Source organism: Homo sapiens, chromosome 9, assembly GCF_000001405.40.
Source record: "Homo sapiens chromosome 9, GRCh38.p14 Primary Assembly".
NCBI classification, from domain to species: Eukaryota; Metazoa; Chordata; class Mammalia; order Primates; family Hominidae; genus Homo; species Homo sapiens.
The window spans coordinates 121,434,171-121,459,957 of record NC_000009.12 but is presented as its reverse complement, the minus strand read 5'-3'; the positions used below and the strand labels follow the sequence as shown (position 1 = coordinate 121,459,957).

General features: G+C 43.3%; 1 protein-coding gene and 1 long non-coding RNA gene across 12 annotated transcripts in view, besides 2 other annotated features; one reads left to right on the top strand and one right to left on the bottom strand.

The window, feature by feature from the left end:
- The window catches only part of GGTA1 (glycoprotein alpha-galactosyltransferase 1 (inactive)), a 54,855-nt gene extending 39,887 nt beyond the window's left edge, over window positions 1-14,968 (top strand). For 4 of the 7 annotated variants that reach the window (NM_001382585.1, NM_001382584.1, NM_001382586.1 and 1 more), the window contains one exon: window positions 4,117-4,918. In NM_001382585.1, the coding sequence (NP_001369514.1) occupies window positions 4,117-4,121 (5 nt within the window). In that variant the 3' untranslated portion in view covers window positions 4,122-4,918. Of the gene's footprint in view, window positions 1-4,116; window positions 4,919-7,676; window positions 7,815-12,360 lie in introns of those variants that run through there. The other 3 variants (NR_168461.1, NR_168460.1, NR_168459.1) reach the window with 2 other exon arrangements.
- Window positions 1-25,787, bottom strand: part of LOC102723324 (uncharacterized) — a 93,479-nt gene that overhangs the window by 3,414 nt on the left and 64,278 nt on the right. The window contains exons 4-5 of one of the 5 annotated variants that reach the window (NR_187160.1): window positions 8,456-8,586; window positions 7,785-7,983 (exon numbers count right to left, since the gene is read on the bottom strand). The exons of 3 other annotated variants lie outside the window; for them this stretch is intronic. This is a non-coding gene — a long non-coding RNA (uncharacterized LOC102723324). Of the gene's footprint in view, window positions 1-7,784; window positions 7,984-8,455; window positions 8,587-19,430; window positions 19,583-25,787 lie in introns of all 5 variants that reach the window. One more of the 5 variants, NR_187159.1, reaches the window with a different exon arrangement.
- Window positions 5,710-6,209: an enhancer, noted in NCBI's record as "H3K27ac-H3K4me1 hESC enhancer chr9:124216027-124216526 (GRCh37/hg19 assembly coordinates)". NCBI's record gives its function as "activates a minimal SCP1, AML or CMV promoter by ChIP-STARR-seq in naive H9 embryonic stem cells {active_cell/tissue: H9 hESC(naive)}" and the evidence as "EXISTENCE:reporter gene assay evidence [ECO:0000049][PMID:30033119]".
- Window positions 6,210-6,711: an enhancer, noted in NCBI's record as "H3K27ac-H3K4me1 hESC enhancer chr9:124215525-124216026 (GRCh37/hg19 assembly coordinates)". NCBI's record gives its function as "activates a minimal SCP1, AML or CMV promoter by ChIP-STARR-seq in naive H9 embryonic stem cells {active_cell/tissue: H9 hESC(naive)}" and the evidence as "EXISTENCE:reporter gene assay evidence [ECO:0000049][PMID:30033119]".

Here is a 25,787-nt window from a genome sequence, read left to right as displayed (position 1 = left end):
TATATGTGCATCTATTTGATTGTGATGTAAAGTATATTTCTCACTGTGAGTTATGGTCAAAAACACTGTGCTAGGCATTGTGTTAGGGAGAGGAGACAGGAGAAATCAATCAACATGGTTGTATTTGAGAAGTTCATGGTCTCACAGGGGTCGTTACTGTGAAACTATTATTTGCCTAGATTGGTAGGAGGCAGGATCAACTGGAAGGATGTGGTTCTGGGAGTGAGGAGATGGGAGCTGTCCAGGGTGACTTTGAGACCTGAGAGACTGGTGGGTGATGGTGCCATTGGCCAGAAAGGGGACTGGAGGAGGAGACACAGGCCTCAGAGCTGGGGGAGGTGGGGACCTCCATTAGGAATGCATGTGGATGCAGGTGCTTATGGGACATCTGGACAGAGTCACAGGGTGCTCCTGAGCTTAGCAGATGGTATGTGCTGGAGATGTGCAATGAGGTATCATCAGAGTAATCAGGAGAGAATGGAATCCTTTTTTTTCATTTGATTTTTAATTTTTATTCATTTTGAGACAGGATCTTGCTCTGTCACCCAGGCTGGAGCGCAGTGGTGCAATCGTGGCTCACTGCAGCCTTGACCTCCCAGGCTTAGCCTCCTGAGTAAGGAGGCTTGGTGTGCGCCACCACGGCCAGCTAATTTTTAATTCTTTTGTAGAGACAGGGTCTTACTATGTTGTCCAGGTTGCTCTTGAACTCCTGGGCTTAAGTGATCCTCCCACCTTGGCCTCCCAAAGTGCTGGGATTACAGGTGTGAGCCACCATGCCCAGCCTGAAAATAGCATCTATCCCATTGTGAAGGAGCTTGGGCTCTGGAAAGACTGAATATGTTCTGGCAACTTCTCTTATTGTTTGGGGATAAGGGATCCATGCCAGTGTGAAGGGATGGGAATTTTGGCTTCCCATATGTCATTTGATGATCTGCACAACAGGGTAGGCATCTCTGAAATGCTAAACCACTCATAGAAATGTGAGAAGATGGAAGCATTGTTGCTTTGATAAAGCCCCTTAGATGGGGCAATGAGACTCCGCCAGGGACAGGCTAGATGGGCCAGAGATGGTCCCCAAAGTCCCTTCTAAGGAGAATGGGGCAATTTTACTGTGGTACTTGTTCTTTGCTGAGCAGGACTTGGGAGGTGGGGCTGGGGCTGAATGACTGGGGGCAGAGAGGAGGGACAGACCATAGTCACCAGCTTTCACCCTCTTCACTCTTCCCCTTGCATGGCTTCATCTCCAAATGAGTAGGGAGCAGATATTTATTTTTAATTTATCTTATCTTATCCTTTATTTATTTATTTATTTATTTATTTATTTATTTATTTGAGACAGGGTCTCATTCTGCCACCAGGCTGGAGGGCAGTGGCACAATCATGGCTCACTGTAGCCTCCACCTCCCAGGCTCAAGTGATCCTCCCGCCTCAGCCTCCCAAGCAGCTGGGACTACAGGCATGCGCCACCACGCCTGGCTAATTTTTGTATTTTTTGTAGAAACGGGGTCTTGCCATGTTGCCCAGGCTGGTCTTGAACTCCTGGTTTCAAGTGATCCCCTGCCTCGGCCTCCCAAAGTGCTAGGATTACAGGCATGAGCCACTGCTTCTGGACACAAGCAGATTATTTAAAGAATGTTGGTTTGAAGTGGCACCAAATTTAAGTCTTCTCAGGGCATCTAAGTCTATTTCTTGCATAAATGAATGATTGGATGAAGGAATGGATGAGCAAATAAACATACTTTGTATAAATGTATCCTTTTTGGCTCACGCCTGTAATCCTAGCACTTTGGGAGGCCGAGACAGGTGGATTGCCTGAGCTCAGGAGTTCAAGAACAGCCTGGGCAACATGGTGAAACCCCGTCTCTACTGCAAAACAAAAAATCAGCTGGGAGTGGTTGTGGGTGCCTGTAATCTCAGCTACTCAGGAGGCTGAGGTATGAGAATTGCTTGAACCCAGGAGGCAGAGGTTGCAGTGAGCCAAGATCATGCCACTGCACTCCAGCCTGGGCAACAAAGCGAAACTCTGTCTCAAAAAAAAAAAAAAAAGTATCCTTTTCTGTAAACTACCTAAAACCACAGTATATTGTGCATATTTCCATATCAAGGTCGCTTTGCTTCCATGACACCACATCCTCATTTGTGACCGTCTCCCGAGAGGGGCAGCTCCCTCTTCCCAGCTGTCAGGGATTAGAGTTTATGGGAGCTAAGTCCAGCAACCTCTTCTCTGTTCTTTATATACTGTTTTTTTTTTTTTTTTAAGATGGATTCTCGCTTTGTTGCCCAGGCTGGAGTGCAGTGGCGCAATCTCGGCTCACTGCAAGCTCTGCCTCCCGGGTTCATGCCATTCTCCTGCCTCAGCCTCCCGAGTAGCTGGGACTACAGGCGCCCGCCACTGCACCCGGCTAATTTTTTTGTATTTTTATTAGAGACGGGGTTTCATCGTGTTAGCCAGGGTGGTCTCAATCTCCTGACCTGGTGATCCACCTGCCTCAGCCTCCCAAAGTGCTGGGATTACGGGCGTGAGCCACCACGCCCGGCTTATACACCATTTTCCAATGTGCTCTCATCCATTTTCATGGCATTAGGTACCATTAGTGAGATTAGATACCATCCTACATTTAAATCTTTAGCCCAGATTTTGCCTTTGAGCTGTGACTTGTGTCTACCTGTCTGCCTGACATCTCTGCATGTCTCACATGGCCAGAATGGATTTCTCAATTCCACCCCACCCTTGTTCTCCTCATTTCCCATCCCAGTAAATGGCTCAAGACACACAGTCTGGGAGACCTTTTCCTCTGTCTACCTCATGGTCTAATGCATTAGCATGTTCTGTCAATTCCTCCTCCGAAATCCTTTCTACTTCATCCCCTTCTCTCCACTCGACAGCCGCTATGCCATCCCTGTTCATGTTGCCATCAGCTTTTCTCTGTGTCCTTGTTTAGCCAACCTACTCCTGCTTAGAGGGAATTCAGTCAATAATGAGTTGTGTTGGACGCAGTGGCTCATGCCTGTAATTCCAGCACTTTGGGAGGCTGAGGCAGGAGGATTGCTTGTGTCCAGAAGTTCAAGACTAGCCTGGGCAACTTAGTGAAACCCTGTCTCTTCAAAAAAATAAAAAATTAGCTAGATGCAGTGGCGCATGTCTGTAGTCCCAGCTACTCAGGAGGCTAAGGTGGGAGGATCACCTATATTCCACATCTTTTTTTAACCTACTCCATGATTCATAGAATTTTAATGCTTCCGGCTGGGCATGGTAGCTCACGCCTGTAATCCCAGCACTTTGGGAGGCCAAGGTGGGTGGATCACCTGAGGTCGGGAGTTCGAGACCAGCCTGACCAACGTGCCAAACCCAGTCTTTACTAAAAATACAAAATTAGCCAGGTGTGGTGACCCATGCCTGTAATCCCAGCTACTCAGGAGGCTGAGGCAGGAGAATCACTTGAACCCAGGAGGCAGAGGTTGCAGTAAGCCAAGATCTCACCATTGCACTCCAGCTGGGCAACAAGAGCCAAACTCCGTCTGAAAAAAAAAAAGAATTTTAACTCTTCTTCTACCCACCCCTTGGGTACCAAAATGTGCCATAAATAAATATATAAAATTTAAAAGCTGCCAATAACCTAGGAAGGTGTGTGCTTTGGTTAGGGGGCCCTTTTATTTTGGGGGAAGCTTTTGTGGAACTTCTCACACTGGCATCACACCATTGCATGTCCTACGTGGAAGGAAAGCATCTGAGCAGCTCTTTCCTGGCACTTTTTCCTTTCTTTTTAGTGCCCCATCTTTGTGATCTTGGACTTCTCTGGCAGTTGACATTATCAAAGACTAGCTTTTCACATGTGTGAGCTGCCCTCCGTCACTTCTTTTTTGGGGGGTTTTGTGGGTTTTGATGACTAAGACTCCTTGATGCAGCGGTTCATCCAGGAAGCTGATCTTGATCTCATTCTCCCTCCGCCCCCATCTCCCCAGCTGCCTGCATTTTCAGGCTGTTGTGTGGCTTTGTAGTCAGGGTCACTGACCTGTTGGAATTGTCAGTGGAATCAAATAATTAACAGCTGGGAAATAGAATATTTTAATTTTTAATTCAACATAAATTTTTAATGTTGCTGTTTTTTCTTCCAGCTTGAAGGAATCCGAATAACTAAACTGGACTCTGGTTTTCTGACTCAGTCCTTCTAGAAGACCTGGACTGAGAGATCATGCGGTTAAGGAGTGTGTAACAGGCGGACCACCTGTTGGGACTGCGAGATTCTCAAGGGGAAGGACTGGGTCTCATTTCTCCCATCTCAGCGCTTAGCAGGATGACCTGGTATAGAGCAGGGAACTGGGAAATGTGGGTCAGGGGATCAGACACTCCAGTTGGGTCTTTTATATAAATTAAATGGCAAAAGGCTCCATACCCTTCTCCTTCTTTCCTACCCTCCACTTTATCTGCAAAATGGGAATGATGATAACACCCACTTCATAGAATGGTCATGAAGATCAAATGAGAGAATAAAAGTCAAGCACTTAGCCTCTGGTGCACAATAAGTATTAAATAAGTATACCTATTCCTCCTTTTCCTTTTTTAAAAATAATATTACCAAATGTCCAGCTTATACACATTTACAAGACTTAGCTAGTGGGCTATGTTAGAGCTACTAAAAGATCTTTGACAAGCTAAAACTAAGATGCAATGAATGAGGTGTAACGAACAAGAGAGTTTTAAGTTCAGAAATGGTTACAGAAGTATAAGACAGCTGTGTGGGTGTTTTTTGGTTTTTGGTTTCTGGTTTACAATCTCGTCATTCAACAAAGATGGGAGTTTTATAGAACTAAAAGCACCATGTAAGCTACTAAAAACAACAACAAAAAAGGCTCATCATTTCTCAGTCTGAATTGACAAAAATGCCAATGCAAATAAAAATGATTACTTTTTATTTTATATTGTTTGTTTATTTATTTATTTCGAGATGGAGTTTCACTCTTGTTGCCCTGGCTGGAGTGCAGTGGCGCGATCTTGGCTCACTGCAACCTCCGCCTCCTGGGTTCAAGCAATTCTCCTGCCTCAGCCTCCCAAGTAGCTGGGATTACAGGTGTGCACCACCACGCCTGGCTAATTTTGTATTTTTTTAGTAGAGACAGGGTTTCACCATGTTGGCTAGGCTGGTCTTGAACTCCTGATCTCAAATGATCCACCCGCCTTGGCCTCCTAAAATGCTGGGATTGCAGGCATGAGCCACCGCGCCCGGCTTATTTTTTAAGTGGAAATAGGGTTACCTTTAGATCTGGACAAACCTGGGTTTTAACCCCAACTTCATCAGCAGAGGAATGAAAAGGCATATAAGAAATAGTGTACGTGGTAGCTCAGCTCAGAGCATGGACTCCAGAGTCAGCAGATCTTGTTTAAATCCCAGCTTTAACCCCTACCAGCTGTGCAACCTCAGGCAAGTTGTTTGACTTATCTGTGCTAGTTTCTTCATTGATAAAATGGGAATCAAAATAGCACCTACCTCAGAAGGGTGAGTGAGCCCTTTGCACAGTGCGTGGTCCCAAAGGAATTGCTCAGTGTGTGTTAGCTTGCATCATTAGTGACCAGGTGTTTGGCCTTGGACAAGATAATAAGCTGCTCTGAGACTTGGTTTTCTTACCTGGACCATGGACATGATACATTGCAGGGCTGTTGCAGAGACTAAATGAGAAAGTGTACGTGGTGGGTGCCTGGCACAGGTTGGTGCAGAGTGCACAGTAGCTTCTTTCATGATTGAAGGAAACCAAGGGCAACTGTGTCCTCCATGCAGCAGGCGTACCTGGGGTGCTGAGGGCAGAGCTAAGTCTTAGAGTTTGAGACTCCAGACAAGATGTGGTGAACCAGGAGAGCACCCTGAAAGTGTTTCCCCTGTCTGCCATCTGGACAAACCTGGAGCAATTTCAGCATTGGGGGTGAAATGTAGGAAGCAGGCCAGTTCCAGCTGTGGTGGAATCTGGGAAGCAGACCAGATGTCATGCCTGCGGCTGGGGTGGGAGGGCAGAGTCAGCTCAAGAACTACAGGGTGCAGCGTTTGGGGACAAGGGACAGGAGGCCCGAGAGGAGAGTCTACTGAGGCCCCTTTTCCACTCTGAGGCTGGGATGAGGCAGGGGATGACCCAGCTGTACTATCAGCCTCGCTGTGGGAAAAACCCAACTTTGCTGATGGGTAGGGCGATTCTGTGAAAACCCAGGCCTCCACTGGCCGTGCTGGCCCGACGTATTTGCTAACGTCTCCTTGACAGCCTCACCAGGACCACGGCAGTGCAGCCAGTAGGGATCACCAGGACTTTGCCCCAATCACTTGCCTTCCTGGGGTTGAACTAAGATGCTGCCCACAGTGAATCCAGTAAAGTACAAGCAAATGCCAAGCAGGGTGCCAGGCCCATACTGGGGTTTGAATCTAAATGACCTGTGCCAGTCTCTGCTTCCCAACGGGGAAAATGCAGCCACCTCCTGAGCCAATAGGGAGTCAGAGCCTCCCCCTGCCTGGAGCTTCACCCTCATGCTGGGGCCCCTGCGGCTCTGTGCTTTCTGCATTTACCCTTCAGGACTTCAGGGTTTTGTGCTTTGTTATAGCTTCCTGTTTTGCTTTGGCCTTGCCAAGTCCCATTCCAGCTCTCTGAGCACAGCACAGAGCCCTCCCTCTCACCCCTTTTGTGTTCCTAGTAAAGATGCTCCTGGTCTAAGGAGAAGGTCCTTGCCAGAGCCCTAGGCTCCAGTCTTGGCCTTGCTGGGCCTCCATCAAATGCCTTCCTTTCTGGCGCCTTTGTCTCCTGGTTTGTAAAGTAAGCAGTAACATCAGAATCCCTTTAATCTGGGGCCCTTTTTGTCCAATGACCAGGTTCCCACCCAGATATCTCTTCTAGCAAAAGGCAAATGGAAACAGCTTTTTCTCTTTCTAATCTAATGTCACTCTCTCATCCGCCTTTATCAAGGCTTAGGATCTCCTTAGGCTCAGATGACATCCACAGGGATAAATAACACCCAAAGGTGCTACTAGTAGCTTAGGAAGGGGCTGGGAAAGTAGGGAAAGGGATTTAGAAGTAGGAAGAGAAAAAATAAAGTAGAAGAGGTAAGAAGGTATGAGATGTAGAGATAAGAGCCTCATAAGGGCCCCCCAAAATAGCCCTGAGAGGGCTAGGCCCAGTGGCTCACGCCTGTAATCCTGGCACTTTGGTAGGCTGAAGCTGGCGGATCACCTGAGGTCAGGAGTTCAAGAGCAGCCTGGCCAACATGGTGAAACCCCATCTCTACTAAAATTACAAAAATTAGCCAGGAGTGGTGGGGCACGCTTATAATCCCAGCTACTTGAGAGGCTGAGGCAGGAGGATCACTTGAACCTGGGAGGCAGAGACTACAGTGAGCCAAGATCCTGCCACTGCACTCCAGCCTGGGTGACAGAGCGAGATCTGTCTTAAAAAAAAATAAAAAATAAAAATAAAAAAAAAAGATAGCCCTCAGAGGCACCTGAGCCAAAGCCTCATCTTCCTTACCCAGAAGATGCTACCCCTGCAAATGGCATACCTCCCAGCCAAGTGTTTGGCGTTAAGCTACAGTCAGGATTCAAGGACAGTCCCTGCAGATCATAGCTGACCCCCCTTATCCTTGGACAGTCTCTGCCCCACAATGGCAAAGCTGCCCTGACTCAGGGAACTCTACGTTTTATCACCAGGAAACACCCAGAGGTTGTGACAGTGACCAGATGGAAGGCGCCGGTTGTGTGGGAAGGCACTTTCAACAAAGCCATCCTAGGAAATTATTATGCCAAACAGAAAATTACCGTGCGGTTGATGGTTTTTGCTATTGGAAGGTAGATGTCACTGATAAAACTGTCCTTGACTGTCTCTTGTTCCACTGTCAAAACATTTGTGTGGAGACTCCTGAACTGATGGAAGCCAGTCATGATTTTTTGATTTATTAGATAGGAGAATGTTTTCATGGAACTGGTTCAGTCTCCTTTCTGCTGAGGCCCTAAAATGCTGAGAACAAAATAATAGTAGGTAAGTCCACTCATTCCTACCTCAAAATGAGGGACTTGGGTTGCAGGAAAACATGTCTGTTCCACCCACCAAGCCCAGGGTCAACAGCATACCCACAACCACCTCCTCCCTGACCACCATGGCTTCCTTTAGAAATTCCACAAGTGCTAGCTGCTAGACAGCCCAGAGTGCATCATTCTTTTTCCTATGCTCTACGGCCCAGGACCAACTACAGAGAGATTTATAGCAAGTTCTAGGTGCTGAGTGACCTAAGCACAGTGGCTTTCCACGCTGGAACACAGCTGACCACTCTTCCATGGGTTCCTCAGATCACTTCTACTTTTTCTCTCATGGAGGATTTGGCCCTAGAAGATTTGCTGGTCAGAGCTTGCTCTTCCAAAGGTTGGATAGGTTCCAGTTTCAACTCCCTTGTTCAGAACATATGACGCAGAAAAACTACGATCATTCTTACTTGAAAGTTCTAGCTCTAGGCCAGGTGCGGTGGCTCACATCTGTAATCCCAGCACTTTGGGAGGCCGAGGTGGGTGGATCACGAGGTCAGGAGATCGAGACCATCCTAGCTAACACGGTGAAACCCCGTCTCTATGAAAAATACAAAAAATTAGCTGGGCGTGGTGGCACATGCCTGTAGTCTCAGCTACTTGGGAGGCTGAGGCAGGAGAATCTCTTGAACCTGGGAGGCGGAGGTTGCAGTGAGCTGAGATCACGCCCCTGGGTGACAGAGCAGACTCTGTCTCAAAACAAAAAGAAGAAAAGAAAAGAAAGAAAGTTCTAGCTCTAATGTTAGTTATTAAAGATAATCCATTTTGCTTTTTTTGGAGAATTTTCCTTTTTTTTTCAAAATAAAACTAAAAGTCCAATTTTCCTATTTTTTTTTCTGCCCTCTGGGCCTTTCCCTCTATATCTCTTCTGAAGAAGCTTCATGGAAAGTCGATTCCTTTGCCTTGTATAAAGAGACTTGAAGGCTCAGGTTGATCTGAGCTTTGCCAAGGTGGGGCTTAAAAGAGAGCTCTGTAAAGATCTGATAGTTCTCCAAAGATAACCTTCCCCAACCCAGAGCCCAGCAGCTATTACTGTTCCGTCATTAACAATACCAATCAAGTTCTAATGTCACTGAATGTGCTGATCCTAGGGACCTATGTGGTCTCTCTAACAGAGAAAGGTGACTGTGGAGTTTTGACATGTTTACCAGAAGAATCTCTACTCATATAGGTTGGGAGCCACCTAATTAGATTAGGTGAACCACCCAGCTCACCTAATCCTTTGGCACAAAAGGGGATAACCCAGCCACGTTGCAGATTGATTTGATCCTGGTGTTTCCAAAAAGAACAAAACGTTGCCCAATGCCCCACAATGGCTTCAGCCATCCAGTTCCAACTCTGCACAACTAAACTGTAAATTGCACATCCTGGTGAAAGCATTCTGCCCTCAGCTCTGAGACAAGGGAGGACTGTTTGTACTCAGCAGCAATAAATCTTTACAAGTGGATTTGGACTTTTAGGAGGTGTAATGTTTGGTTTGTTTTCAAGCAACAATGCATGGAGCCAACTGCAGTGCTTTAATCTCTAAACAATGTGAAACCTCAAAATGAATCTCTCCTGTACTAAACCACCCCCCCGCCACCCCACCCCAGTATTGTTTCCCAAGCTTCAGGGCACAATAGATTTTTCTCGAAGTCCCAGAATACTGAAGGATTTCCTGGCCACTAGCCACAGAGCCACACTGAAGTCCCTTTTTATATTCCTCAGATATATTCTCTTCATTTAAAGAATCAATACTATAAACCCTTGGATTACCACATGCCAACATTAAAAGCACACTTTATTTTGGTAACAAATAAAGGGAATCCAAGCAGCAACAAAAAGCGAAAAGAAGTGCCATTCACTTTACTCACAAAACACCATGATTGGCCAGTAGTGTGATCAGCACATTAAATTCAGTCCACGTGTGTTTAGGGTTTGGTCAAGTTGTATTAAGCCAACTGGCTTATTCTTCCTCTTCCTGGTAATCTCCATAGCATAGCTTCACAAATAGTCTATAGCTTAGGCTTACAGAAGACACCAATAAAATGTTTTTCTTTTCTTCTTCTTCTTCTTTTTTTTTTTTTTTTTTTTGAGATGGAGTCTTGCTCTGTCACCCAGGCTGGAGTGCAGTGGCACCATCTCAGCTCACTGCAACTTCTGCCTCCCAGGTTCCGGCAATTCTCCTGCCTTAGCCTCCCAAGCAGCTGGGACTACAAGTGTAAGCCACCACACCCAGCTAATTTTTGTATTTTTAGTAGAGATGGGGTTTCATCATATTGGCCAGGCTGGTCTCAAACTCCTGACCTTGTGATCCACCCGCCTCGGCCTCCCAAAGTGCTGGGATTACAGGCGTGAGCCACCGTGCCCGGCAATGGGAGATGGCGTGCAATGCTTTTCAAATGAATAGATGAATAGTTAAAATACCACTAAATACCTACTAGAATGGCCAAAATTCAAAACACTGACAACACCAAATGCTGACAAGGATGTGGAGCAACAGGAACACTTATTCATTGCTGGTAGGAATGCAAAATGGTACAGCCACTTTGGAAGACAATTTGGCAGTTTCTTACAAAACTAAATATATTCTTACCACACGATCCAGCAATCGTACTCCTTGGTATTCACCCAAATGAGTTAAAAACTTATGTCTACAAAAAAACCTGCACATGGATATTTACAGAAGCTTTATTTCATAATTGCCAAAACTTGAGAGCAACCACAATGTCCTTTGGTAGGTGAATAGAAAAATGAACTAAGTCACATTCAGACAATGGACTATTATTCCATGCTAAAAATAAATGAGCTATCAAGTCATGAAAAGATATGTTACTAAGTAAAAGAAGCCACACTGAAAAGGCTACATGCTGTGTGCTTATATGACATTCTGGAAAAGGTAAAACTATGGAGACAGTAAAAAGGTCAGTGATTGTTCAGGGTTGTTCAGGGAGGCAGGGATTAATGAGCAAAGCTCAGAGAATTTTTAGGGCAGTGATGCTATTTTGTATGATACTATAATGGTGGATACATGTCATTATACTTTTGTTAAACCCTTAGAATGTACCACACCAAGAGTGAACCCTAATGTAAACTATGGATGTTGGGTGATAGTGATATGTCAGTGTAGCTTCATCGATTGTAACAAATGTATCACTCTGGTGCAGGGATGTTGATAGTGGAGGGGTGGGGCTGTGCAAATGTGGGAGCAGGAGGTATATGAGAACTCTGTACTTTTGGCGCAATTTTTCTGTGAACATAAAACTTCTCTAAAAAAATAGTCCTTATTTTTCCTTTTTTAAATTTCTTTTAATTTTTTTATCTTCTCTTTTCATCTACATTTACTCAGCCACCGAATGTGGCTTACTGCTAACATAGTCCTTTTTTTAAGATAAAGTAGTTAAAATAAGGTTAAATCAGAAGTTGCTCATTCTAGTATTCGGATGGACTAGTATTTTGGATGATGGTGTGTGGACAATGGATTGGTGTTTTAAGTGACTAGTGGGAGGCTCATAGGATGACTATGTAACATGAAGGCAGATCTAGATCTCATAACTCATTCTCTGTATCACAGAGGACAAGAGAGTGCTGCTGTTTGGGCTTAATGCATCCCCAGTGGATCCAAGGGTCACATCACCCTTGTATCTGGTCTGGCAGTAGCAACATTGGGGTTTATGTTAGGGCTTTTGAATGGAGATCAAGAACTAGTACCCCCTTTGACTGTCCAAAATCTGAACCAATTGGTAAATTGGACAAAGGGGTAAGGAAGGCAGAGGGTGGTAAATATTACTTTCATTATAGTTAAAGCTGATATTGGAGAATGTGGCTTATATCTGCAAACCCTGGGCCTCCTAAATATGTAACCCCCAGAGTTAGAAAGACTTAAGCATCCAGGCACCTACAGGCCTCTGGATGTGAGAATAGATCCTGTACTAAGCTTCCTGTAAAACCCAGAGCAGTTGAGAACACATGCTCTCTTGGACTGGCTGGCTCCTAAGAGCCAGAGGAGAGGAAGGATAGGGTAGTGCATGTCTAGTTCTAGTTGCTCTTCCAAAATTGGCAGTGAGATAAGTCATTCCAGCTCCCCACGGACTGAGTGACTGAATGGTGGAGAGTAGCCGGGGTATTACACTAACATGAAAACACACCTGGGGTAGGAGAAATCATTCTCCTACTAACCATAAAATATAGACAAGATGATTTTACATCACGTGGTTTCTTTCAGGAATCCCAGCATGTGGTTTCTTTCAGGAAACCCACATGTGGGTTTTTTCAGCTTGTGGTTTCTTTCAGGAATCCCAGAGGATAAATGTTTTGCTTTTCTTCTTTGTTTCAGATATAATGATCATTACTTGGAGGAGTTCATAACATCTGCTAATAGGTACTTCATGGTTGGCCACAAAGTCATATTTTACATCATGGTGGATGATGTCTCCAAGCTGCCGTTTATAGAGCTGGGTCCTCTGCATTCCTTCAAAATGTTTGAGGTCAAGCCAGAGAAGAGGTGGCAAGACATCAGCATGATGCGTATGAAGATCACTGGGGAGCACATCTTGGCCCACATCCAACACGAGGTCGACTTCCTCTTCTGCATGGATGTGGACCAGGTCTTCCAAGACCATTTTGGGGTGGAGACCCTAGGCCAGTCAGTGGCTCAGCTACAGGCTGGCGGTACAAGGCAGATCCCTATGACTTTACCTAGGAGAGGTGGAAAGAGTCAGCAGGATACATTCCATTTGGCCAGGGGATTTTTATTACCATGCAGCCATTTCTGGAGGAACACCCATTCAGGTTCTCAACATCACCCAGGAGTGCTTTAAGGGAATCCTCCTGGACAAGAAAAATGACATAGAAGCCAAGTGGCATGATGAAAGCCACCTAAACAAGTATTTCCTTCTCAATAAACCCTCTAAAATCTTATCCCTAAAATACTGCTGGGATTATCATATAGGCCTGCCTTCAGATATTAAAACTGTCAAGTGATCGTGGCAGACAAAAGAGTATAATTTGGTTAGAAATAATGTCTGACTTCAAATTGTGCCAGTAGATTTCTGAATTTAAGAGAGAAATATTCTGGCTACTTCCTCAGAAAAGTAACACTTAATTTTAACTTCAAAAAATACTAATGAAACACCAACAGGGCAAAAACATACCATTCCTCCTTGTAACTTGGGGCTTTGTAATGTGGAAGAATGAATCTAGGGCAATCAGATATAAATTCCCAGTGATTTCTTATCTATTCTGGGTTTGGGGGAAATACTATCAACTGAACCAAAAATAACTTGTCATAGGCAGAGATAAAGCCAGAAACACTCTACACATGCCAGATGACATCTGGAGAAAAGGGTGCTAAGGGAAGCGTTTGGCAGCAAGATATGATTGTAAGGGGTTGTCCCTTGAGTTCAATGTCTGCCTATTTCTGATGGGTCTAAAGCAACATGGAGTTACTGTGCAGCAGAACTCTCAGTAAAGACACCATTTGCCTTGGCAATCCTCAAAAAGCTTCAATAGCAGATTGCTTCAGACCATCTGTAGTCCGTCCTTTTCTCATCTGGATGTTGTTTGGCTTCTGTGCGAAAGATTGGTGGAGTGTCCCAGTAGATATCATGGTGGTGTGTGATCAGAGTCCCAAGGAACCTGAATGAGCCAAGGTGCCCAGCATGAAGTCAAAACAAAGCCTTGACATGAGTTTGCCATGAAATAGCGAAGAGAGAGTGGAAGAGAGGAGCCAATCACTGTGGGGCAGTGCCACCCTGAGGGCACTTAGGGTATGGGGTTGGTGCTTAAATACATCACAGATCCAGGTACTGAATGGGAGGAAGTGTGGGTGATTTCCAATCTCATTGACCCTATGTTCAGGGACTTGAACGGAAGATGTTTCTTGTGTTGCCTAAGTGGTATTCAGTCTACCAGACTCTGCAACTTGCATCTTCAAATCCTTGGTAAAGAGATGTGGATGGTGTCAGAGAAGGCAAAGGCCTGCAGTGGATTGAAGAGGCTTGCAAGCAGTTCTGTTTCTAGGATGTGGGCTTCATCAGAAGACACTCGGTCACCACTTAGCTAGTCTAAACCTCAGGGTTCCTCAGCCCATCATACCCCAACTTGGAGGACTGACATCAAGGAGTAGACTGGAGAAACAGCCCTCCCATCAAGTAACCTCTTGTTCTCTCCTGCTCCATCTGCACTATAGAAGTGTAATAATTAGACATACTTGGCAAAATGGCTAATTGATTTGGTAACAGAAGCATGAGCCATAACAATGGAAGATCTAGTTATCATGACTGAACAGCTTAACATTCAATTCCCTTCTCTAAGAGAAGCTGTGAAATCCTACATATTATTTAAAGTTAACCAAATCAATGTAAAGGGAGTTAGGAGACAGTGTGTACCTATGCACGTATATTTATGTTTTGCTTGTGTTCCAGTCTCGGTCATTTGTTTCCATTTTCAAGCAATTTATTTGAAGAGCCATTGCACTAGCCTGATGTATACTGCAATGAGCTTCTTTGATAAAATGAAACTTAGATTTTTCTCGACCATTTCACCGTGCCTCCTACTTCATTTTTTGCCAGAAAATCTCACATCCAACAAAACAAAACAAAAACCCTGAATTAGTGGGCTTTGAAAAGGAAAAAGCAGGGCTTTGAAAAAGTAGATCACACATCAGTTAAGACTCCTGCTTCTCTATTAGTCAGGTTGTCTTGGATTCAGTCTGGAGTAGGCAGAGCTTAAGGGTTTTTAAGTCCTGACCCAAAGAAATGATCTAGCCTGAAAGTTTAGAGCAAAGGACTAATGTTTACTTTTAAAGGAATTTCTTGATTTTTTTAAAAAACTTCATTAAAGTTTAAATCCCCAATGGACAAATTCATAATCTTGTTAATCGTTATTACTAAACTTTTTAAAAAATGTCCCAATTTACAATTAAATAAATTACTTTCTCAGTATATTCTGGTCTGGTCATGGATTGTGCATTTCCTCCCAAAGATATTCAAAATTGTCAATTAGAGAATTTTAGGTTTTCAGACTCAGAAAAGTCCTCACGCCCTTCTGAAAATGTGTCCACTATTACAGAAATAGAACAGACTTGGGATTCCCAAATTTTTGTTTGTTTTTGAGACAGAGTCTCACTCTGTCACCCATGCTGGAGTTCAGTGGTGTGATCATGGTTCACTGCAGCCCCGACCTCCTGGGCTCAAGTGATCCTCTCACCTCAGCCTCCTGAATAGCTGGGACTACAGGCACCACCACGCCCCACTAATTAAGAAAAAAACGTTTTTATAGAAATGTGGTCTCACTATGTTGCCTAGGCTGGTCTCAAACTCCTGGGCTTAAGTGATCCTCCTGCCTTGGCCTCCCAAAACGCTGGGATTACAGGCGTGAGCCACCATGCCCGTCCAAGGGATTCCCCAACTTTTAAGCAACAAATACTTATATAGAGCTTTCCACAGCAATGCGCTGAAATAATGAACTGCCAGTGAAAGAATCATTAGGGAAAGGCTTGCCCCTGAAGCTCAGGGTGGGGCATCAGGGCAGAGGAAGAAAACAATGCCATCACCATATCTGGGGATTATTAGTCCTGACCTCTGGGGAATATATCTGGTCAAGTGGGAAAGTCTGGATTTCCAGCAGGTGTACTTATACTAAAAAATTTAAAGATGACCAGGCTAATTTAGTGAGATGCACTGAATATGCAACAGGGCATGATTACCTCATAGTGGAGAATTAGTCTCATTTCATAAAAGAGGAAGATGAGGTCCAGAAAGCTTTTAGACTCGGGAAAGTCCTCATGCCCTTCTGAAAATGTGTCCACTATTACAAAAATAGAACAGACTTGGGATTCCCAAATTTTTGTTTGTTTTTGAGACAGGGTCTCACTCTGTCGCCCACGCCGGAGTGTGGTGGTGTAATTATGGCTCATGTGGCCGCAACCTCGAACTCGGCTCAAGTGGTAAGTGGTAGGTGACTGATGTGGGCTTCATCAGAGGACAGTCGGTCATCAGCTGGTCCCACTGCTTAGCTAGTGTAAACCTCAGCGTTCCTCAGCCCATCATACCCCAACTTGGAGGGTTGACATCAAGGAGTAGACTGGAGAAATAGCTCTCCCATCAAGTAACTTTTTGTAAGTGGTAAGTGACTGAACTGAGGCTCAAAGCAGGGAAACTCACAGGACAGATGTGTTGACAGTGCATTCAGAGGGCCATGTTTCATATCATGGAAAGCACAACTATATATCTTCCCAGGCCTCTACCATCTCCCACTTTTTATGCATGAAACCTGCCCCAAATGCATTAAGTAAGTTTAAAAGCACCATGTTAAAAAAAATCGGTTAGGCACGGTGGCTTAACCCCCATAATCCCAACACATTGGGAGGCCAAGGCAGGTGGATCATTTGACTCCAGGAGTTTGAGATCAGCCTTGGCAACAGGGCGAAACCCCGTCTCTATAAAAAATACAAAAATTAGCCAGGTGTGGTGGTGTGTGCCTGTAGTCTTAGCTACTCAGGAGGTTGAAGTGGGAAGATCACTTGAACCCAGGAGGTGGAGGTTACGTGAGCCGAGATCGTGCCACTGCACTCCAGCCTGGGCAACAGAGACCCTGTTTCAAAAAATAAAACATTGTTATCATTCTTATCTTTACATTGTGCATGGAGGGCTGATGTAAGCACCATGGCCGTGCACTGAGCGGTTATATCAGGGCGGGGCTTCAGGAGGTGTGATCAGGCAGAGGAGTAGGTGGAAGGAACAAACCATACTTGCTCCTTCCACTCCACCTCAAATCTGGGAACCACATTCAGCCAAAAGGGGAAAAATGTGTTCAAGGCCTGAAGGATTTCTCTTTGTCCCTCTTTGCTCTCTCTTAGCCAAAGCCACCACTATCAGGAACCTCAACTATGGCAGTACTTACAAGCACTTATTTAATGTAATGTACTGTTTGTTAAATGTGCCTAACATAAACAAATAACACTGGCATGATTGCATATTAACAAGCGTGAAAAGTCATAGAAAGTGAATGTGTAACACACTATACATACCTTTTAAGGAAAGAAAAGAGTCAAGTAGGGATCCACTGGTGAATGTCTGAGATCTGAAAGAGTGCTGATCCAGGATTTAAACCCAGGACTGTCTGCCTATAGATTATCTTACTATAAATCCTGTGCTCTTTCCACAGCTCCACACTTCTTTCTCACACTGTTTTACACACACACACACACACACACACACTTTAACCATCTTATTGTTGAAATTGGAGATACCAAAGAAATCAACATCAATGCTCTCAATGCTTTTGTTAGGCATTAAAGAGAGGGGATTTAGGAGACCCCAAACTCTTTAAAGGCAAAATGTAAGTCTAAAATTGGAGAAAGAGGAACATGAAACCTGACCAGGTATGAGGCATAGGTAGTACCAGGGCTAAGGGAGTATGAAAGAAGGATGGCTCAGGGAGGTGGAAGAAGCCTCAGATAATCTGACTCTGAACTGAGCTTTGAAAGGAGAGAAAGGGTCACTGTGAAGAGTGGATGGAATGAGGTTTCAGAGAGGCAAGCAGCAGGTGTGAAGCCCAAAGTGCTACAATAAGACCTTCATGGAAATCCACAGGAATGGTGCTTTGGGACCGGATGAAATCACCTGGCAGAGCCTGTGTGAAAAGGGCTGGCTGACCACCCCATATTCACCCAGCATTTCTGGTGCTCTCTCTCCCTTCTCAGCAATCCCTGATCTCCTTCAGGGAATTTATGTGATTTCTATGGAAACTGGTGCCATGCTTGAAGCAAGTACCCTTGGCTAAATCAATCCATCAGGACTTTCCATTTCTCTGGTGACAACTATTGATTCAAGGGTGGGCAGGTGACCTAAAGTAGTCAAAGTGAATTTCAAGTCTTCTACTAGAAATAAGGACACGTGTAAAAATAGGGGCTGCTGGAAAAGGGAAGTCCACCTTAGGATAAAATTGACAATAGGAAAGGAGGAGCAGAGACACTGGAGGAAACCCAGGCCCTGGTGACAACTTTGAGCCATTGGATCCAGCCTTACCTAAGGTCTGCACTGTCTGTGGGCTTTTCAAATGCATGGGCCAGTAAAGTCCCATGATTGTTTAAGCCAGCTGGAATTGGACTCTCTCTTACTTATAACTGACAGTATCTCCATTGAACCCCTCTAGGATGATTAGCTCCTTAAAGGCAGGGCCATAGTCTGACATTGCATCAGCTCTAGCACCTACTGCATCACGTATTTCAGAAGTACTCCTTAACAAATATTTACTGAACAAATGAATGAATGCACCAACATCCATTCCGATCATGCCTTGATATGTTTTGCTTTAGTTGGAAGGTTTTACATTTTTGATTATAGACTGTGTGTCCTATTAAAAAGCAAGTGTTTGGATATCTGGCACCTGGAACTTTTCCTCCTGTAGTATACAGTATGGGAACTCAGGAGTTACAGCCTGGGCTGTAGGCTTAAGCTCCAACTTGGTGCCATAAGCTGGTGGATTCAGTGCTACTTCAAGGTCAGCAATGTGTAAAATAAATTTGCTTCATCAGCATAAAGCAGTGGTTCTCAGCCTGGGAATCACTCTCCTCTCCATCCCACGGGACATTTGGCAATGGCAATGTCTGGAGGTATTTTTGGTTGTCACAGTTGGTGGAGGGGTGGGTGCTATCTACATACTGGGTAGAGGCCAGGAATGTTGCTAAACATCCTGGGCAACATGGCAAAACCCTGTCTCTACACAAATTACAAAAAGAAAAAGAAAAAAATTAGCCAGGCATGGTGGCGTGTGCCTGTAGTCCCAGGTACTCGGGAGGCTGAGGTGAGAGGATCACCTGACCCCAGGGGTTCAAAGCTGCAGTGAGCTATGATTGTACCACTGCTCTCCCACGTGGACAACAAGTGAGACCCTGTCTTAAAAACAGAACAAAACAAAACCAGCCAGGCACAATGGCTCCTGCCTGTAATCACAGCACTTTGGGAGGCCAAGGCAGGTGCACCACTTGAGGTCAGGAGTTCAAGACCAGCCTGGCCATCATGGTGAGACCCTGTCTCTACTAAAAAATACAAAAATTAGCCAGGTGTGGTGGTGGGCACCTGTAATCCCAGCTACTCAGGAGGCTGAGGCAGGAGAATCGCTTGAACCAAGGAGGCAGAGGTTGCAGTGAGCTGAGATTTTGCCACTGCACTCACTCCAGCCTGGGCGACAGAGCGAGACTCTGTCTCCAAAATCAAAACAAAATGAAACAAAAAAACAAAAAACCATCCTACAACAAAGAATTATCTAGCTCAACATGTCATTAGTACCGAGTTTCTTGGACTTCAGTAATAAACAAACATTGGGAACTAATATGCATTACACTCGCCCGTCTATACCCTGGGAATAGTCCCCTGTTGCCATCAAGAGCCTCTAACTCACCTCCTGGTTGTCCGCTAACATTCACAGCCTTAGAGAACACAAAAGTAGTTCTCTATACTGGACACGAGAGGGCAGGAATTTCCAAAGATAACCCTGTTATCCTAAGCGACTGCAGTGATTAAAAATATTCTTTTCCGGAGCTGGTGAAGACTCTGCACATTTATAGAAATAGATGTTAATTTTGCATACAAATGAAAATGGCAATTAATATTTAAAGGATGTGGCTATAAAAAAACAGCCTTATTAGTTAAAATAAATGAGTTTAACAATTAGTTAAAATAAGCCTTAGCTATATAAACCCCAAAAGGAGTTTACTGGGAGACTATTGGAGAATTCTGTGAATAGAAGGGAGAATTGACAGGGGAGCAGGGGTGTGCTGAAGCCAGCTTATACTGGCTTGTGAGAGTCTATTATAGGCAATACTTCCCAGCTCCCTGTTCAGTGACATCACTGTGATAATAGGCCGTGGTGGGAGTATTTAAACCATGGGAGTCAACACACACTAGAAACCAGGGCTCTTTTTCCTTTCCTTAATTTCCTTCTTTCTTTCTTTTTTTAAAGTGTCAGTTGTTAAAAATTTACCAGTATATCACTGCAACCAGGCCATGAGTAAGAACCAGGAAAGCTTAGGGGCCTCTGCAACTGAAAATTGTGGACTCTCCCTAGAGGTCTGCCATTAATATGACTCAGTTCCAACTATCTCCAGTCTCAGGGTTTCTTCCTTCAAAATTCTAAATTCCTAGGAAAGAAAACTCAAAAGTCACAACACCACTCCTGCTCCCAGCAGCTGTGTCCTGGAGTTTGTTTACTGGAGAATGATTACACTATGGGCAGTTCTCAGAGAAGCACATATTGTTGTGAGCTGGGTATCTACCCTCTAAAAGTATCTACCACTTTCCACTTATGGCTGTCTGGCTGTCAATCACTTCTTCCCATACATTCAAAATATTCCCTTCTACCATGATCCAAAAATGTTATATACTACTCCAGCACAGCCCCTTCTCCCAACAGACCACTGAATCCACAGATAATGTCAGAGGCCAGGCTACTCAGAGTCTACTTCTCCAGATAGTGATCATTTCTCCTTTGATCCTTTAGACAGCTTGTATGACTGTTCTGCAATCTGTGACATAAACGGCAAGTTTAGCTCATATCCAAACACACTACAGTGAGAGACAAGGAAGAAAGAGAAGGGAAAATTGTAGTAACTCCTATTTAAAGAGGAAAATGATGGTTTCTTGCTCTGGAATTCAGTGGGACTGTGCTGTAAGTTTCCAATCACAGCTAGCCACATTCTTCAACCACCATTCCAGTCTACTTCAGACCCATTGAACTATGTAAAGTATGACTGGTCTTAAGGGCTGTGGCAGCCTGGACCAGGTAAACAGCTTGTCCAGGGTCCCACTAAAAGCTCACTTATTTTACCTTTATCAGGTAAATGGCAAGCAGCTGGACACCCACATGTGTGGGACATTGCTTGCAGGAGTTAATGCCTCTTTCTCAGAGATAGGGGACATGAAATGCTGGTTGTCAAACTTGGCTGTACCCTAGAATTACTTGGAGAGCTAATATTGATGTCTGGGGCCCCACCCAGAGATTCCAAGTCAGGTGGCACAGGGTGAAGGCTGGACACTGGGATTTTTACAAGCTTCCCAGGTGATTCTATAATAGTATGCAGCAAAGTGTGAGAACCATTGTCACAAAATACAGCAATTTGCCTTGTGGTTTCCTACGTGTGGTTTCTTTAGTGTTTTTATTTCTCGGGGGATTTGCTAAACTTCTTGGATCTGTAAGTTTATAATTTTATTTTAAATCAAATTTGGAAAGTTTATGGCTATAATTTCTTTTTTTTGCAGATGATATGACTTTATATTTGAAAAAATCTAAAAACTCCATCAAAGAATGATTAGAACTGATAAATTCAGTAAAGTTGCAGCATACAAAATCAACGTACAAAAACTAGTAGCATTTCCACATGCCAACAGTGAAGAATCTGAAAAAAAGTAATCCCACTTACAATACCCACACATAGAATTAAATACTTAGAAATTAACAAAAGAAGTGAAAGAGCTCTATAATAAAAACTATGAAACATTGATGAGAAAAATTGAAGGGAACACAAAAAAATTGAAAGATATTCCATATTAATGGAGTGGAAGGATCGATATTGTTAAAATGTCCATACTCCCCAAAGCAATCAACAGATTCAATGTAATTCCCTATTAAAACGCTAATAAAATTCTTCACAGAAATAGAAAAACAGTCCGAAAATTTATTTATTTATTTATTTTATGTTATTACATAATTTTATTATATAAGGATTAAAAACAGGTGAGTATGAGTTTCTAGTCAGTATAACATTTCCCCTGAAGAACTGGAACTGAACTTAAAAGGAGCCTAAGGTAAAATGAATGTTCCATATGTTCATCTAGGCGTTGTGCAATCACATGTACGTGTTTGTCAAATCTCATTCAAGCAAATACATAAGATCTGTGCTTTTCTTTATATGTATTTTACCTCCATTTCAAAGAAGGAATAATAAAAACTTGTTTTATTATTATTACTTCCAAAAAATGTCTGTTCATGTTCTTTACCTGCTTTTCTATGGGTTTTTTTTTCTCATAAAGTTGTTAAAGTTTCTTATAAATACTAAATATTAGGCTTTTCTCAGATGTACAGTTTGCAGAAGATTTCTTCCATCCTATAGGTTGTCTGTTTACTCTATTGATATTTTATTTTTGTGTGGAGAAAATATCTTCAGTTTAATTAGATCCCATTTGTTAATTTTTGCTCTTGCTGCAATTCCTTTTGGCATCTTTGTGAGATCTTTGCCCATGCCTATGTTCTGCATGGTATTGCCTAGGTTGTCTTTCAGGGTTCTTGTAGTTTTAGGTTTTATATTTAAGTCTTTAATCCCTTGAGTTGGTTCTTGTATATGGTACAAGGATTGCGGCCCAGTTTTATTTTATTTTATTTTTTTATTATTATACTTTAAGTTCTAGGGTACATGTGCACAATGTGCAGGTTTGTTACATAGGTATACATGTGCCATGTTGGTGTGCTGCATCCATTAACTCGTCATTTACATTAGGTATATCTCCTAATGCTATCCCTCCCCCCTCCCCCCACCCCACGACAGGCCCCGGTGTGTGATTTTCCCGTCCTGTGTCCAAGTGTTCTCATTGTTCAATTCCCACCTGTGAGTGAGAACATGCAGTGTGTGGTTTTCTGTCCTTGTGATAGTTTGCACAGAATGATGGTTTCCAACTTCTTCCATGTCCTTAAAAAGACATGAACTCATCCTTTTTTGTGGCTGCATAGTATTCCATGGTGTATATGTGCCATATTTTCTTAATCCAGTCTATCATTGATGGGCATTTGGGTTGGTTCCAAGTCTTTGCTATTGTGAATAGTGCTGCAATAAACATATGTGTGCATGTGTCTTTATAGCAGCATGATTTATAACCCTTTGGGTATATACCCGGTAATGGGATGGCTGGGTCAAATAGTATTTCTAGTTCTAGATCCTTGAGGAATCGCCACACTGTCTTCCACAATGGTTGAACTAGTTTACACTCCCACCAACAGTGTAAAAGTGTTCCTATTTCTCCACATCCTCCCAGCACCTATTGTTTCCTGACTTTTTAATGATAGCCATTCTAACTGGTGTGAGATGGTATCTCATTGTGGTTTTGATTTGCATTTCTCTGACGACCAGTGATGATGAGCATTTTTTCATGTGTCTGTTGGCTGCATAAATATCTTCTTTTGAGAAGTGTCTGTTCATTCCTTCACCCACATTTTGATGGAGCTGTTTCATTTTTTCTTGTAAATTTGCTTAAGTTATTTGTAGATTCTGGATATTAGCCCTTTGTCAGATGGGTAGATTGCAAAAATTTTCTCCCATTCTATAGGTTGCCTGTTCACTCTGATGGTAGTTTCTTTTGCTGTGCAGAAGCTCTTTAGTTTAATTAGATCCCATTTCTCAATTTTGGCTTTTGTTGCCATTGCTTTTTGCATTTTAGACATGAAGTCCTTGCCCATGCCTATGTCCTAAATGGTATTACCTAGGTTTTCTTCCAGGGTTTTTATGGTTTTAGGTCTAACATTTAAGTCTTTAGTCCATCTTGAATTAATTTTTGTATAAGGTGTAAGGAAGGGATCCAGTTTCAGCTTTCTACATATGGCTAGCCAGTTTTCCCAGCACCATTTATTAACTAGGGAATCTTTTCCCCATTTCTTGTTTTTGTCAGGTTTGTCAAAGATCTGATGGTTGTAGATGCACACACACATCTTATCAATAGTCAGAGTCTAGCTAGTAAAGCAGAAACTACTATTCTAGGTATTTCAAACAGTGGGGATTTAATATAGGGAATTGGACATGAAGGTGATAAAAGAGCTTGGGAGAAATACAAGGGAGAAGAGGCAACCCATAATTTTTAAATAAAAGCAATAATATCCTGAAAGTTGAAGGAGAAAAATGTAGGATGTCTAGAAAGAGCTAGAACCTAGCAGAAGTTATCTGGCATGAGGTGACACAAAAGAGAGAGGAGTTTCAGCTACTAATTGATATGGTACCCATAGTGAGGGTGTGGAGGGGACATCCAGGCTTTTCTCCTCCTCCTACCCTCCTCTCTTCTGTTAGTATTTTTCATCAGAGAGCAAGGGAGTCTGGGTAATATGGACCTCTGCCACACTGAGCAGAGCACAGGAAAAAATGGAAGATTCAAGAGTAAACAGGCAAATGTCTACACAGTCCAATCACTGTGCCACAAAGCACCCATTTTTACCCTTCTATCCATACTTAACTTTCATAAAATGACTTAGTGCTTCCACCTACTAGAATTCAATTAACTTTTGCACAAATGGACACTCTCTTCCCAAAAAGATGGAACACAAAGTACCATCTGACATAGTGTCTCTCACCATGTCCAGGAAGCCCACATGAAGTGAGTTCCTCTCCATCAGAACTGTACTTGGCTCCTCACAGTTTTGTGAACTCTGATCTAAACTAATAAAAGAATATCAGTGTAAATAACAGAGAGAGATTCTCCACAGATAATAAGTTTTTTCAGGAGTATGCAGAGCATTTGCAAATCTGGGATATGTAGGCTATGGAGCCCACAGGCATATTGAAAGAGGTTGAGGCAAGGGGATGCCTTTAAATGTAAAAGGGAAAAGTATACATAATTTGTTCTGAAACAAAGATAACTTTGGTTACAGGGGCTTATTGCAGGAGTTAATACCAGTTCATTATTGGTATGTAAGACAAGAGTTCTTGTGCATCTGGCTAGCTGTCCTTGTGACTCATGTAGCAAACTGTGTAAGAGCTCTTCAGAGAGTCTTTGTAATCATTCTTATCATAAGCATGTGTGCATGAGGGCCCTTTCTTGTCAGCCTTCTGGCTTTATTTTTGTTGTGGTTAGGGTTTGACACAAGTGACTCCATTTTGATCCTGACAACTTTCACAAAAATAACTAACATTCCTCATTTTAAAATAATAGAAGGAAAAAAGAAAATAGATTATTGACTAACATATAGAAATATATATTTATGTTTATAATATATAAATAAGAAGAATATGCATGCCTGCTGCAGTCCTCATTTCCATAACTGGTCACAAGGTCAAGTTCATATTTATCACATTTCTTTCACCACCCATTCCATGTTCCTTCCCCTCTGCTAAAAGCTCAGCTAGATACTGTTCTTTACCTGGTGGAATGGCATAATTGTTTTCCCTATGGGACCTGAGTCTTTGGTGAGTCTTTATTGGATTGCCACAGTTTTCCCTTAACAATGGCTGTTGGATAAAATTGTAGTAGAAGACCCCCAGTGAACACATTGAGCTGTAAATATAGCACCATTCCACTATTGTATAGTAGCAACCAACTTTCTTCTTGATAATTTTGGACCCTTGATAATTGGGTCCCCTGACCCAATACAGAGAACTCCTCTGGCTGTTGATTCAGCATGATGAGAATACAAAATGTCCAAGGGGAAGTCTCAACTTCCAGTCGACGGAATGATGATTCTGTTTCCTGGTGAATACATTTCTTTCTGAGGCTCTAGGGCCTCCAAACCCACTGAACCCAAGCTTGCAGAGATGGAAACAAAAATGACGCCATTGGGTTATTTGGTGTAATTGTAAAAGAGGGCCTCACGTCTCTACCTCATGCATTCTGGCTATGGAGAAGACAGTATGACATAGTAGCCACTATTTTAAGGCATATTCCACATACTTTAGGACAGCACCCAACAACACAGAGTGTTGTCTCACAGCTCACATTGTAACAGAATCTTCAGCAAGCCATAAAGTGACCTGCTTCCAGTGATGAGTTGCATGGTAAGAGCAATGGA